Source organism: Homo sapiens, chromosome 2, assembly GCF_000001405.40.
Source record: "Homo sapiens chromosome 2, GRCh38.p14 Primary Assembly".
Classification (NCBI taxonomy): Eukaryota; Metazoa; Chordata; class Mammalia; order Primates; family Hominidae; genus Homo; species Homo sapiens.
The window spans coordinates 227957889-227973114 of record NC_000002.12 but is presented as its reverse complement, the minus strand read 5'-3'; the positions used below and the strand labels follow the sequence as shown (position 1 = coordinate 227973114).

General features: G+C 39.4%; 1 long non-coding RNA gene across 1 annotated transcript in view; it reads right to left on the bottom strand.

The window, feature by feature from the left end:
• The window catches only part of LOC105373918 (uncharacterized), a 79493-nt gene extending 68980 nt beyond the window's left edge, over positions 1-10513 (bottom strand). The window contains exon 1 of the long non-coding RNA XR_001739908.2: positions 10368-10513. This is a non-coding gene — a long non-coding RNA (uncharacterized LOC105373918). The remainder of the gene's footprint in view (positions 1-10367) is intronic.
• Between the last annotated feature and the right edge of the window lie 4713 nt (positions 10514-15226).

Sequence of the window (15226 nt, the reverse complement as noted above, 5' to 3'; positions counted from 1 at the left end):
GTCCCTGCATGCTGCATTCGTTTGTCCTGCGCTGCCACATGGGTGGGTGACACAGAAGCGCAGGTTGCCTGAGTCATGGGGTCTCATCCTTCAGAATGTCAAGGGCAATACCATCATCGCTGGAACTACCCTGACTGATGAATAAACATCATTTTAAAATAAACAAATTTGGCCAGGCACAGTGGCTCACTCTGTAGTCCCAGCCCTTTGGGAGGCCAAGGCAGGTGGATCACCTGAGGTCAGGAGGTCAAGACCACTCTGGCCAACATGGTAAAACGCTGTCTCTACTAAAAATACAAAAATTAGCTGGGCATGGTGGCGGGTGTCTGTAATCCCAGCTACTGGGGAGGCTGAGGCAGGAGAATCGCTTGAACCCGGGAGGCAGAGATTGCAGTGAGCCGAATCCACACCATTGCACTCCAGCCTGGGAAACAAAAGTAAAACTGCATCTCAAAAAAATAATAAATAAATAAATAAATAAATTTATTCATGGAAGAAAATGAAGTTTCCTGACTCAGCATGGAGGTTTTGGCCAGCCCTTCAGTTAAGACAGTGACATCCGCTAATGAGTATCTCACAGAAGTCCGAGAAGGGTCAACTTCTAATAGTTCTGGAAAGCAGGACAGCCTTGACAAGAAGCTTACCAATGCTAATTAGCCAGTGTTTTATTAATGATTTCTTCCTCTGTGCTCCTTGTTCAGGTCCACGTACTTATTTGAATGTGGGGGAAAAAATTGAATGTAATTTTATAGGTAAGCAAATCAAGATGCAGAGATTTGAGAGGACCTGAGCAAGGAAGCAGAGACAACAACAACTAGCATTTATGTGAGCACTTGCTCCATGTTCCAGACATGATTTGAAGTGCTGTACGTGCATTGACTGATTTACTCTCCGCCATAACTCCCTGAAATAGGTATTATTATTACCACTTCGTTACTGAAAAACTTGGAGCACAAAGAGAATAAGTGGCTTGCTTAAGGTCACAGAGCCAGAAACAGGCAGAGCAGGATCGATCCCAGGCAGATGAGCCTCAGAGGCTGCACTCTTAGCTTCTGCTGCAAGGTTGTTAATTGGCATAAGTTGGAGGCATGAAAAGCAAGGGAGGTCAGAGGACGGACAATGCAGAGAGAAAAAGAAGCAGAGTCATAACCCACAAATCATTCTTTCTCGATTGTATTATGTATTTTCTCAGCCACCGTGACTCTTCTAAAGTAAGAAGAGAGAACAGTGAATAAAACTGTGTTATTTACTTGACATTGAGCACAATTAAGGCTGGGAAAGTGGAGCTGATGGCTATTTATATGGTTGGGTTGACTGTTTGAGAGCATCCCTGGGGAGGAGCCTCTACTTCTAGACCATTCATATAAGCTGCCTCCAGGCAAACACTGCATTTAACCGCAACATGTAAAGATGCCCACAATCTGGAAGAACACCAGGTTATGTTATCCAAAACTTTGAAATTTACAATTTAAAATAAAAGTTTCTTCATAAGGCACCAAAAAAAAATGTTTGGCTTCCCTCATAATGCTTTTAGAAGTATTTTTAAAATGCTATATTATATGTATCCTTTAAAACGCTATATTATATTAAATACTCAATGAATAATGCTGTGCCATTCGTCTGTTCAAAATGGAAAATTAAGCAGCAAACCAAAAAGCAGAATTTTTCAGTGGATCGCAGAGGGAGCGTGCGCGAGCCAAACACTCAGCATGGGAAGAATGAACGAATCCTAAACACACTGGGAGATGACTTTCAAATTCTCCTTTTAAACTTGACTCCAGGAGGCAACGAGAAAAGAGAAAAAGTAACAGGAGGTTATTTTTCAAAGTAACAAATGCCAACGTGAATTCATTACACGTCTAGGAGTTAGAGGAATCTTCCCTTTAGACAGGCCGATGGAAAGAGGGTATGCACAACGTCACCACAGTACACAGACCTGTTGGTCACTAATTATACACTGAAAATGACAACTGTCCTGTCCCAATCTGGGCATTCATAGTGACTGTGAGTGATGGAGGGGATCTTTGGCGTGAAGCAATCCAAAGAAAATTGGTTACACTGCCAAGGGCCACATGGGTCATGGCCAAAGTGGAAGCAGATGATTATCACATACAGTGACACCGTGTAGTAGAGGCTTTTTGTCCCCTAGTCAGCAGCATGCCTTCTCTCTCTCCTTTTTACCGTTTTTTTTTTTTTTTTTGGTAGGCATCCACCTTCCTGCACATAACCTATGTGATGCAAGAGAAGCTGACTGTATCCCAACTCCCAGGGTGGATGCAGGCTGGACCAAGCCCACCAGAGTCTTCCCTTATCAGAGCATTTAGCCCAGAAATAGACATAGGACCTAAATTGCCCCGATCTGAAGGGAAGAAATCATACAGAAGGTTCTTGCTCTTTCTCCCTCTCTCTCTCTTTGTCTCTCTCTGTTTCTTTCACTCTTTCTCTCTCTCTCTGTGTTTCTCTCTCTCTGTTTCCCCTCTTGCTCCAACTCCCTGGGAATACTGAACAGGGAATCATTTCCTCAGCAGTCAGCTTGCAAATGTAAATGGTTTATTAAACAACTCGAATTATGTGAGGCAGACAAAAATATGATGCATTTTTAAATCTCACCAACTATAAGGCCAACTGTATTCTGTCAAATCTCTTTTCTGCCATTGTATTATGAATCTATGGCAGATCCCATATCTTCTGGTCACTTGCATTACTAAAATCTTCAGTCAGTCTAATCCAATTTATAGACTTGGCTTTTGCAAGCAGCTTATCGCTCTTGTCTCCCTTTCCTAAGCACCTGGCTGGCTTTGGCTTGAGGAGCTCGAAATAGGAAGAGGGGCGGTGTCTGTGGTTTTGTTCTTCTCCTGCCTTCTCTAGTTCTATTTCCACTGGTATTGGGCACTGGGGGGACAGAAGGGAAATAGAGCAAATATTTCTTTCTTTATCTGGAAGTGCAACTGCAATTCTCTGATAGCCATTATTGCTTCCCTGGTTAATACAATTGCTGGCTATGTTCTCCTTGGGACGGAAAGCGAAATGTCTGCCATCTCATGAATATGTGTATGCATTTTGTGGAGGGCTCTGTGGGGTCACTTTTTTACCATTTCTCTGATGTGGGAGACACTACCCCAACTCCAGCTTTACCCCTTATCCCTGCAGCTGATGACCCAGCAATCCCCATCTCCCATTTCCCCCAATACCCAATAGGCAGCCCTCTTGGGCAGGATACCCACAAAACTTCTCAAGCACAGTGTGATGGTTAATTTTATGTGTCAGTTTGACTGGATTAAGGGATATGCAGATAGGGAAAACATCATTTCTCATGTGTCTGCCACAGTGTTTCTGGAAAAGATATGCATTGTAATCAGCAGACTGCATAATGAAGATCCACCTCACCAATGTGAGCAGGCATCACCCAATCCATTTAGGGCCTGAATAGAACAAAAAGGTGAAGGAATGGAAAGATATCCATTTTCTTGAAATCACCTATGCAAAATTATGACAGACATATCTGACATAGCTGACTCTATCTTGCTTCTGACCACCAAGCTGTCCTTGGTCATTCTTGGTCATAGGCCCAGCTAACTTTGGGAGGAATTTATAGTATAACTTTGAATCAAGAATAATAAAGTCCCTCCCTAAAAAAAATTTACCTCCCTTTTCCAGGGCTGGAATCACCTTTTATTTTTTATGTATTTATTTTTGAGATAGAGACTCACTCTCTCACCCAGGGCAGAGTACAGTGGCGCTATCACACCTCACTGCAGCCTTGATCTCCTGGGCTCAAGCAATTCTCCCACCTCAGCCTCCTAAGTAGCTGGGACTACAGATGTGTGCCACCATGACTGGCTTTCTTTTTTCTTTTTGGAGAGACAGGGTCCTACTGTGTTGCCCAGGTTGGTCTTGAACTCCAAGGCTCAAGTGATGCCTCCCGCCTTGGTCTCCCAAAGTGCTGGGATTACAGGTGTGAGCCACCATGCCTGGTCTGAATTGCTTTTGTAAGACTAGTGAAAGGCCACAAGATTAGATTTATGGAAGGGGCCTGAATTCTGCTAAAATGTAGGCATAGTTTCTGTAGTCTCAGGAGTCATGTGGCTTTGGTCACATGGTTTGTAAATTCCCCAGTTGTTCCTGTAGATAACATCACTATTGTAGAATCTAAGATTGGCTTTCTGAGATGTTGTTTAGACTGATTCCATCACCACCAGGCCTGCCTTACAAGAGCTCCTGAAGGAAGCACTAAACATGGAAAGGAACAACCGGTACCAGCCACTGCAAAAACATGCCAAATTGTAAAGACCATTGATGCTAGGAAGAAACTGCATCAACTAACGAGCAAAATAACCAGCTAACATCATAATGACCAGATCAAATTCACACATGACAATATTAACCTTAAATGTAAATGGGCTAAATGCTCCAATTAAAATACAGAATGGCAAATTGGATAGAGTCAAGAACCATCAGTGTGCTGTATTCAGGAGACCCATCTCACGTGCAAAGACACACATAGACTCAAAATAAAGGGATGGAGGAAGATCTACCAAGCAAATAGAAAGTAAAAAAAAAAGCAGGGGTTACAATCCTAGTCTCTGATAAAACAGACTTTAAACCAACAAAGATCAAAAGAGACAAAGAAGGCCATTACATAATGGGAAAGGGATCAATTCAACAAGAACTAAATATCCTAAATATATGTGCACCCAATACAGGAGCACCCAGATTCACAAAGCAAGTCCTTAGAGACCTACAAAGAGACTTAGACTGCCACACAATAATAATGAGAGACTTTAACACCCCACTGTCAACATTAGACAGATCAACGAGACAGAAAAGTTAACAAGGATACCCAGGACTTGAACTCAGCTCTGCATCAAGTGGACCTAATAGACATCTACAGAAGTCTCCACCCCAAATCAACAGAATATACTTTCTTCTCAGCACCACATTGCACTTATTCCAAAATTGACCACATAGTTGGAAGTAAAGCACTCCTCAGCAAATGTAAAAGAATAGAATTCTTAACAAACTGTCTCTCAGACCACAGTGCAATCAAATTAGAACTCAGGATTAAGAAATTCACTCAAAACCACACAACTACATGGAAACTGAACAACCTGCTCCTGAATGACTACCGGTTAAATAACAAAATGAAGGCAGAAATAAAGATGTTCTTTGAAACCAATGAGAACAAAGACACAACATACCAGAATCTCTGGGACACATTTAAAGCAGTGTGTAAAGGGAAATTTATAGCACAAAATGTCCACAAAAGAAAGTAAGAAAGATCTAAAATTGACACTCTAACATCACAATTAAAAAAACTAGAGAAGCAAGAGCAAACACATTCAAAAGCTAGCAGAAGGCAAGAAATAACTAAGATCAGAGCAGAACTGAAGGAAATAGAGACACAAAAAACCCTTCATAAAATCAATGAATCCAGGAGCTGATTTTTTTTAAAAGATCAACAAAATTGATAGAACCACTAGCAAGACTAATAAAGAAGAAAAAGAGAAGAATCAAATAGACGCAATAATAAATGATAAAGGGGATATCACCACCAATCCCACAGAAATACAAACTACCATCAGACAATACTATATACACCTCTACACAAATAAACTAGAAAATCTAGAAGAAATGGATAAATTCCTCGACACATACACCCTCCCAAGACTAAACCAGGAAGAAGTTGAATCTCTAAATAGACCAATAACGGGCTCTGAAATTGAGGCAATAATTAATAGCCTACCAACCAAAAAAAGTCCAGAACCAGATGGATTCACAGCCAAATTCTACCAGAGGTACAAAGAGGAGCTGGTTCCATTCCTTCTGAAACTATTCCGATCAATAGTAAAAGATAGACTCCCCCCTAACTCATTTTATGAGGCCAGCATCATCCTGATACCAAAGCCTGGCAGAGACACAACAAAAAAAGAGAATTTTAGACCAATATCCCTGATGAACATCGATGCAAAAATCCTCAATGAAATACTGGCAAACCGAATCCAGCAGCACATCAAAAAGCTTATCCACCACGATCAAGTGGGCTTCATCCCTGGGATCCAAGGCTGGTTTGACATATGCAAATCAATAAACAAAATCATTCACATAAACAGAACCAACAACAAAAACCACATGATTATTTCAATAGATGCAGAAAAGACCTTCAACAAAATTCAGTAGCCCTTTGTGCTAAAAACTCTCAATAAACTAGGTATTCATGGAACGTAGCTCAAAATAATAAGAGCTATTTATAACAAACCCACAGCCAATATCATACTGTATGGGCAAAAACTGGAAGCATTCCCTTTGAAAACTGGCACAAAACAAGGATGCCCTCTCTCTCCACTCCTATTCAACATAGTGTTGGAAGTTCTAGCTAGGGCAATCAGGCAAAAGAAAGAAATAAAGGGTATTCAATTAGGAAAAGAGGAAGTCAAATTGTCCCTGTTTGCAGATGACATGATTGTATATCTAGAAAACTCCATTGTCTCAGCCCAAAATCTCCTTAAGCTGATAAGCAACTTCAGCAAAGTCTCAGGTTACAAAATCAATGTGCAAAAATCACAAGCATTCTTACACACCAATAACAGACAGCCAAATCATGAGTGAACTCCCATTCACAATTGCTACAAAGAGAATAAAATACCTAGGAATCCAGCTTACAAGGGATGTGAAGGACCTCTTCAAGGAGAACTATAAACCACTGCTCAATGAAATAAAAGAGGACACAAACAAATGGAAGAACATTCCATGCTCATGGATAAGACGACTCAATATCGTGAAAATGGCCATACTGCCCAAGGTAATTTATAGATTCAATACCATCCCAATCCAGCTACCAATGACTTTCTTCACAGAACTGGAAAAATCTACTTTAAAGTTCATATGGAACCAAAAAAGAGCCCGCATTGCCAAGACAATCCTAAGCACAAAGAACAAAGCTGGAGGCATCACACTACCTGACTTCAAACTACACTACAAGGCTACAGTAACCAAAACAGCATGGTGCTGGTACCAAAACAGAGATATACACCAATGGAATAGGACAGAGTCCTCAGAAATAACACCACACATCTACAACCATCTGATCTTTGACAAACCTGACCAAAACAAGAAATGGGGAAAGGACCCCTATTTAATAAATGGTGCTGGGAAAACTGGCTAGCCATATGTAGAAAGCTAAAACTGGATCCCTTCCTTACACCTTATACAAAAATTAATTCAAGATGGATTAAAGACTTAAATGTCAGACCTAAAACCATAAAAACCCTAGAAGAAAACCTAGGCAATACCATTCAGGACATAGGCATGGGCAAGGACTTCATGACTAAAACACCAAAAGCAATGGCAACAAAAGCCAAAACTGACAAATGGGATCCAGTTAAACTAAAGAGCTTCTGCACAGCAAAAGAAACTGCATCAGAGTGAACAGGCAACCTACAGAATGGGAGAAAATTTTGGCAATCTACCCATCTGACAAAGGGCTAATATCCAGAATCTACAAAGAACATAAACAAATTTACAAGAAAAAAACAAATAACCCCATCAAAAAGTGGGCAAAAGATATGAACAGACACTTTTCAAAAGAAGACATTTATGCAGGCAACAGACACATGAAAAAATGCTCATCATCACTGGTCATCAGAGAAATGCAAATCAAAACCACGATGAGATACCATCTCACACCAGTTAGAATGGCGATCATTAAAAAGTCAGGAAACAACAGATGCTGGAGAGGATGTGGAGAAATAGGAATGCTTTTACACTGTTGGTGGGAGCGTAAATTAGTCCAACCGTTGTGAAAGACAGTGTGGCGATTCCTCAAGGATCTAGAACTAGAAACATCATTTGACCCAGAGATCCCATTACTGGGTATATACCCAAAGGATTATAAATCATGCTACTATAAAGACACATGCACACATATGTTTGTTGTGGCACTATTCACAATAGCAAAGACTTGGAACCAACCCAAATGTCCAACAATGATAGACTGGATTAAGAAAATGTGGCACATATACACCATGGAATACTATGCAGCCATAAAAAAGGATGAGTTCATGTCCTTTGTAGCAATATGGATACAGCTGGAAACCATCATTCTGAGCAAACTATCACAAGGACAGAAAACCAGACACCGCATGTTCTCACTCATAGGTGGGAATTGAACAATGAGAACACTTGGACACAGGGTGGGGAACATCACACCCCAGGGCCTGTCGTGGGGTGGGGGCAAGGAGTGGGATAGCATTAGAAGAAATACCTAATGTAAATGATGAGTTAATTAGTGCAGCAAACCAACATGGCACGTGTATATCTATGTAACAAGCCTACATGTTGTGCACATGTACCCTAGAACTTAAAGTATAATAAATTAAAAAAAAAGAAAAGAAAATTAGCTCAAAGCAGTCTGAGCTACATGAGGTATGAGAAATGTATCATGCCCAGAGTGGCATAAGTAAGAGACTTGAATCTCGACCCGCTCCACATACACACCTATGCCTAGGGTCAATTGTTTAAAGGCATTTGTTGTTTATTGTCTTAGAGTTGCATAAAGTGACCCTCACCCATTATCTTCATGTTCCTGAAATTTGTGATACAAAGAACAGTGTATAGCCAATCAATAGCTTATGCTATTTTAATGAATCAATGTGAGAACTGTCCCTTATTTTTTCCTTTAAACACCCACTTGTAACTGCTGCTAATTGGACAATATATTCAGGGCAATTTGAGTCTGTTTCTCCTGTGTTGTGGTCCTCAGATTTGGCCCAAATAAACCCTCTACTTATATTAATTTTGCCTTAGTTTCTTTCTTAGGTCGACAGGATCAATGTTCAGAGAAGACTGTCAATGGTCAGAGAAACAGTGACAACCGTGACACAGAGTGTTTCAAAATTGGCTAGATAAGTAGAATTTTGTTCTTTTTTCTTCTGCCTCCCTTTCCCTCCAACCTGTTGGAGAAATTTAAAACCAAGAAAACAGCACAGCTACATAATCAGCAAGCCCCAGTGTAAAATGAAAGTGTAGGGCCCCTTTTTCTAAAATTATTAAGAATTTCAAGATGGCAACAGCAAAGCATTAAACCAAGTGCATGATTTCACAAAGTGTAGGGCCTAGGTGGCTACACGGGCAGCACACCCATGAAGCCTGTGGAAAAGTAAAGGAACAAATAAAACCATGCCCTCTTCTCCTTATAGTTCCTTCAGGCCATAATCAAACCTGAGTGATAAGAGGAGGCAGTAAGACAGGTATTTAAAATTGGTTTGGAAAGGTAAGTGGACAACAATTAAATACTTGTATGTTTGTAGCCTGCAGAGTTCATATTGCTTAATAAACCCAATTATAAATGCATGAAATCAGTTTGAGGACAATATCCACATTTAAGAAATGCAACTTGTGATAACATTTTAGATAATTTATCAGCTCATCTACAAACTACAAGGAAGACAAGAAAGAACAAAATGCCTTTAAACAGTTTCCTCTGGGCATGAGTGGGTACGTAGAGGGGGTCAAGACTGAAAATTTGGGGACGGGTACTGCTGAGAAAACTACAGAGGATCAGATCTAAACCCTCAACTTACCCTGCTCAGAGCTGCCCTATGTCTACCTATATAAAATCATAAAAGTCTTCATTATTGTTTTATAAGTAGAAATACATATATTTTAGTATCATTAACTACTCTAAAAAATGAACCTCAAAGTAATGTAAGTTTATTCGTCCCTCGCTTACCAGTTCAGTGAGGTAACTTTTTGAATTCAATGGAAATGATGTTACACAGTTCTGATTGTGGCCTGCAAAAGGCCTGCCAATCTTCATATTCTCTTGGGGAAAACTAGCAGCAATATAAGTATTGTTAGCACTAGGGAAATGTATCCGAGTTACGCAGCACCAAAGTATGTCAGCAGCGGTGAATCCACACGGGTTTGCAGCAACGTTAATTCTTGCCATCTCAGAAGAAAGAATTTGACCAAGGGGCATAAGGCAGAGTGAGAGACTGAGGCAAGTTTTAAAGTGGGAGTGAAAGTTTATTAAAAAGCTTTAGAGCAGGAATCAAAGGGAGTAAAGTATTCTTGGAACAGGGCCAAGCGGGCAACCTGAGAGATCAAGTGCACGGTTTGACCTTTGACATGTGGTTTATACCTTGGCATGGGTGCAGGGGGTTGCATCTCTTCTCCCCTGCCTCTCCCCTTAGGGTGGGCTGTCCACATGCACTGTGGCCTTCTAGCACTTGGGAGGGGCCTCGTGCACAGTGCTTGCTGAAGTTATGCACGTGTTCCCTTGAGGCATTTTTCCCTTACCAGTCAAGTTACCAGTTACCAGTTAAACTCCGCCATTTTGTCTCTTAGTGCATATGCTTGAGCCTACTCACCCATTTCCTGAGATCTTATCTGGAAGCTGCTGATCATCCGTTCCTGGTGTTTCTATCTATTGGGAGACTACCTTTCCCTGGCACCAGCTGTGACCCAACTATTATTTCAGAGAGGCAGTTTAACGACCACCTGACCATCACCTGATGGTTGCCAGACATCCCTTGGAGTTGTCGGGTGGGGGGAGGGGGGCTGTCTCCTGCCCTGCTTCTGTCTGACTACCTACTGTAACAGTATTACTATCCTGAGACCACCATACTATGAGGAAGCCCAAGCTGGTCACGTGAAAAAAGAGGTCATGGGAAGGAGCACCGAGGTGACAAATATGGGAGGGACTCATTCTTGTATCTTCCATCCCAGTCCAGCCCAGTTGTCAGCTGAATGCTGCCAACACAGTGACCAGCTGATACCACATGGAGCAGAAGAACTAATCAGCTGAGCCTTGCTCAAATTCCTCATCCACCAAATCATGAGAAAAAATAAATGGTGTTATTTAAAGCCATTAAGTTTGGGGGTAAAACAGTATGTTACTCAGCAATTGATAACCAAATCACAGTTATCCATAAAAAATGAAAAATATTGAATAAAATGTAAATATTTCAAATATCTTTAAAGTAATGGAAGTTATTGTTTAAATTTGAGTTATATTGTCAGAGGTACTCCTGTTAAATGATACAAGAGAATAAGCACATATTTAACTAAATAAATTCAGTTAAATTGTATAGTTAGGTAAATTTAGTTAATATGTTATAAACTGTGTAACAAAACACTATATTTATAATGTATATCATATTGTACAAAAACAAATCATGCTATTTAATGCTCTACAACTGATAAATAAAAAAATCTCCACAGTAACTGGACAGAAGATAATAATGACAATTAATAAATAGTGAAAGAAAAAGACCAAAAAGCATGCAGAAAAATTATCTGCTTCTTCAGCCATCAGGAATATGCAAATAAAAATAAAACTAAGATATGATTAGCAACAATTTAAATCATTGATAACATTCAGTGCTAGCAAAGGTAGAGGGAAACAAGCACTCTCATGCAATGCTGATGGAAATGCAGAATGCTAAAGCTTTGGGGGACATTTTGGCAGCATTATTAAGATATGTAAACAAATAACTTTATACCTCTTATAGAAAGTTACATTTAACCAATTAAGAATCATCTGGCCTGGTTGGCAGTGCTGGACTTACTTCTGCAACCTAAGCCAAGAAGCTTGGTTTGAAGACAAATAAAAAGGTAATTTATGAATTACGCCAGAGAAACCATGAAGCTGCCATCTGCCTTGCTCTCATCACATACACATTCTGAGACAAAGATTAGACATAAATAGAGTTACAGTGAGATAGTCTGAGGGATTAGTGGGGAATAATGACTGTTAGAGTCTATTATTAGTTACTGTTAGAGTCTATTAATGACTAGAGCCTGAAAGCTCAAGTCAGATGTAGGAAATCAGAAATGGAAGAGGTGTAGCGAAGATACAAAAGAAAGAGTGTAAGTCACAGTAGGGGGACTCAAAGCTGAGACAATATAGGACACAGAGAGTGGGAGAATGGGAAGACTCATGATTCAGAAGTGCTTGGAGTCTAAATGTAGGCAGCCTTGAACAAACAGCTAAGAACGTAGGATCCATCCATACAATGCAGTGTTTTATTCACACTTGTGTGGTTTTTGTTTTGCTTTGCTTTTTGTATGTGTTTTGATAATTTTCTTTATTGAAACTATAGTGTTCAACTAAAAATTACAGTTGACTCAAATAACACAGGTTCAAATTGCATGGGTCCGCTTATACGGGGACCCATGCGATAAAAATATTGGAAAATATATTTATTTTGGAGTTTTGCTACAATTTGAAAAAGCGTGCAAACTGCATAACCTAGAAATATGGACACAATTAAGAAGTCAGGTATGTTATGAATGCATAAAATATATATAAATACTAGCTTGTTATATCATTTGTTAGCATAAAATATACACAAACCTATTATAAAAAATTTATCAAAACTTACGCACACAGATTGTACGTGATGTCATTCACCATCAAGAAAAATGTAAACAAACATAAAGATGCAGTATTGAATCATAACCGCATAAAAATAACCGTAGTATTTATTGTGCTACCATAACAATTTTGTGTTCACCTCCTGTTGTTATTGAAATAGCTCAAGTGTGGCAAGTAGCCTCTTAAAAAGCCGTGTGATGCCAATCATCTCTGTGTGAGCAGTTCATCTCTCCAGCAAATTGCAAAGCACAGTAAAAAATGATCTCTCTTAGATTTTTCATTGTATTTAATTCAGTACTGTAAACCTTCACTAACAGCATGGGACTCATATAAAGTGCCACTAGTGATGCTGGAAGTGGTTGCAAAAAGTAGAGAAAAGTCATAACATTACAAGAAAAAGTTGAATTTCTTGATATGTGTCATAGATGGAGGTCTACAACTGTGGTTGCCCACTATTTCAGACAGACAATTCATCTTATAAACAGATTGCATAAACATATTGTATCAAAAAGTATGGCACAATACTGTAAATGTATTTTATCTTCCTTATAATTTTCTTTTTATTTAATTTTTAAAGAACAGAGCTTTATTTCTTACAGTTCTAAAGGCTGTGAAGTCTCCTTATGATTATCTTACAACAGTCTCTTTTCCCTAGCTTCCTTTATTATGAGAATACCATATATAATACATATACTGTGCAAAATAGGTGTTAATCGACTATGTTATTGTTAGGCTTCTGGTCAACTGTATGCTATTAGTAAAGTTTTTGGGGAGTCAAAAATTATACATGGATTTTTGACTGTCCTGGGGGTCAGCACTGGTGACTCATGAATTGTTCAAGGGTCAATTATACAATAAAAATAGGTAATGTGTATTTTTTATTATTCTAGTATTCTAGGTATAGACAAACTATTGCCATAATTCCAGTTACATAGAGTAGCTTAATATATGATGTGGGTTCTGTGATTCAAATTGTACTTTGATAAATGAGAAGCTCTAGTGATGTCTGCTTTATTTTTTGAGACAGAGTCTCACTCTGTCACCCAGGCTGGAGTACAGTGGCACAATCTCAGCTCACTGCAACATCTGCCTCCTAGGCTCAAGTGATCCTCCTGCCCCAGCCTCCCAAGTAGCTGGGACCACAGTCATGCACTGCCACACCCAGCTAATTTTTCTATGTTTTGTAGAGATGGGGTTTGCCATGTTGCCCAGGCTGGTCTCGAACCCCTGGTCTCAAGCAGTCCACCTGCCTCGGCCTCCCAAAGTGCTGAGGACTACAAGTGTAAGCAACCATGCCTGGCTAACATCTGCTTTACTGATGACAGGAAACAGCACCTGCCAAAGGAGTGCTGGACTTGGGGTAGGAAATGTGACCTTGATCCTCATATGTCACTGACCATCTGTGTATCTTTGAGAAAATTACTGACCTTCCTGAGCCTCAGTTTATCCTTCTGTAAAAGGGGTATCAGTATACCTCAATTACAGGGTTGTTGTAAGTAATCAATACAACAACATTCCCAAACACACTTTGTAAGCAGCAAGGTGCAAAGCCAGTGTGATTCCTGAACCCTTGACTCTATTTTGAAAAGGTCACCCTAAATGATGTCTGCTCAGAAAAGGACATATTAGTCTAAAGAGACAGAGTTAAAAACAGGCTGAAGTATTTATAAACCTAGTTTTCACTTGGATAAAGCATATTTTTGACAGGTAATTTTCAAGGGAAGCTTTCAAGTGTCAGGTTCATGGACCCATGAATAGAGTCTATAATTGAGGGTAGTCAACGTTAGCTTGAAGCTGAGTTACTAAGATCTTAGATAACATAAATAAGGTTTTTAAGAGTTAAGCCTTTATATAATACGTTGTATTGTACCCTCTCATTCTCTATATTTTTCCAGAGAATATTTATGAGATTTCTCCTATCTCAGTTCCATAAGAATACAGGTCTCTGGTTTATTTTGAAAATGTGTTGTTAATGAAACAATTAGGTAATCTCCTTTTAGTGTGACATAATTATAGTCTGGTTCCTGTGATTTCAGTGGCCAAGGATGTTAGATATTATTTACTCCAGTCATAACACTTCCTTGCCATTTTCCCCCAAATGATCAATGATCTTGCAGAACTTTACATAAGCTGTTTCTCTGCCTGGAATACACCTTCTCCTATCATGGACACTTGAAGGTGACTCTACTTGCGTCTATTTGTCACATCCCAATGACTGCTAATTTTCATCTATGTATCTGCTTGCTTAAGAGGGAAACTAATGGCTTTCCAGCCTAGAGGGGTAGATATGTACCTAGATTAGACCAGTCACTGCATTATATTTCTTTGGACAAGGGGTTGATTTAACAGTGAACATATGACCAAATCTAGAGGGTTGGGCTAGATTTTGTTGACTATTGTGGTCTAATTAAATTGATTGGTCAGGATAAATGGGCTTTTTTCTTTATTTTTATTTTCCATTTTTCTAACTTGTTCACTAAGTATTTGTGGCATTTCACATGGTTCTATTGAATTAGGGTTTCCTGGGACTAAAATGTATTTCTTTCTAAATATTGGGAAGATCATTCTGACCATCTGTTTATATAGTTCAACTAATATTGGAGCTTAAGTTAAAGTGATTAAAAGTCTCTCCAAGAAGTCTTGGTATTTTGCTGCGGAATGAAATTTGCATAAGCCAGGGATATCTCCTCTAGTAACCGGTAGCTCCATAAATCTATTAAAATAGGTGTTCAATAAAGCACCATGAAAATCATATCAGACAACTTGGTTAAGTTATTGCAGTAATTCATGCTACTAAGGAGATTTGTCCTTAGTGTGCATACAGCTTTTCCTAGTTTTGATAAGGTGATT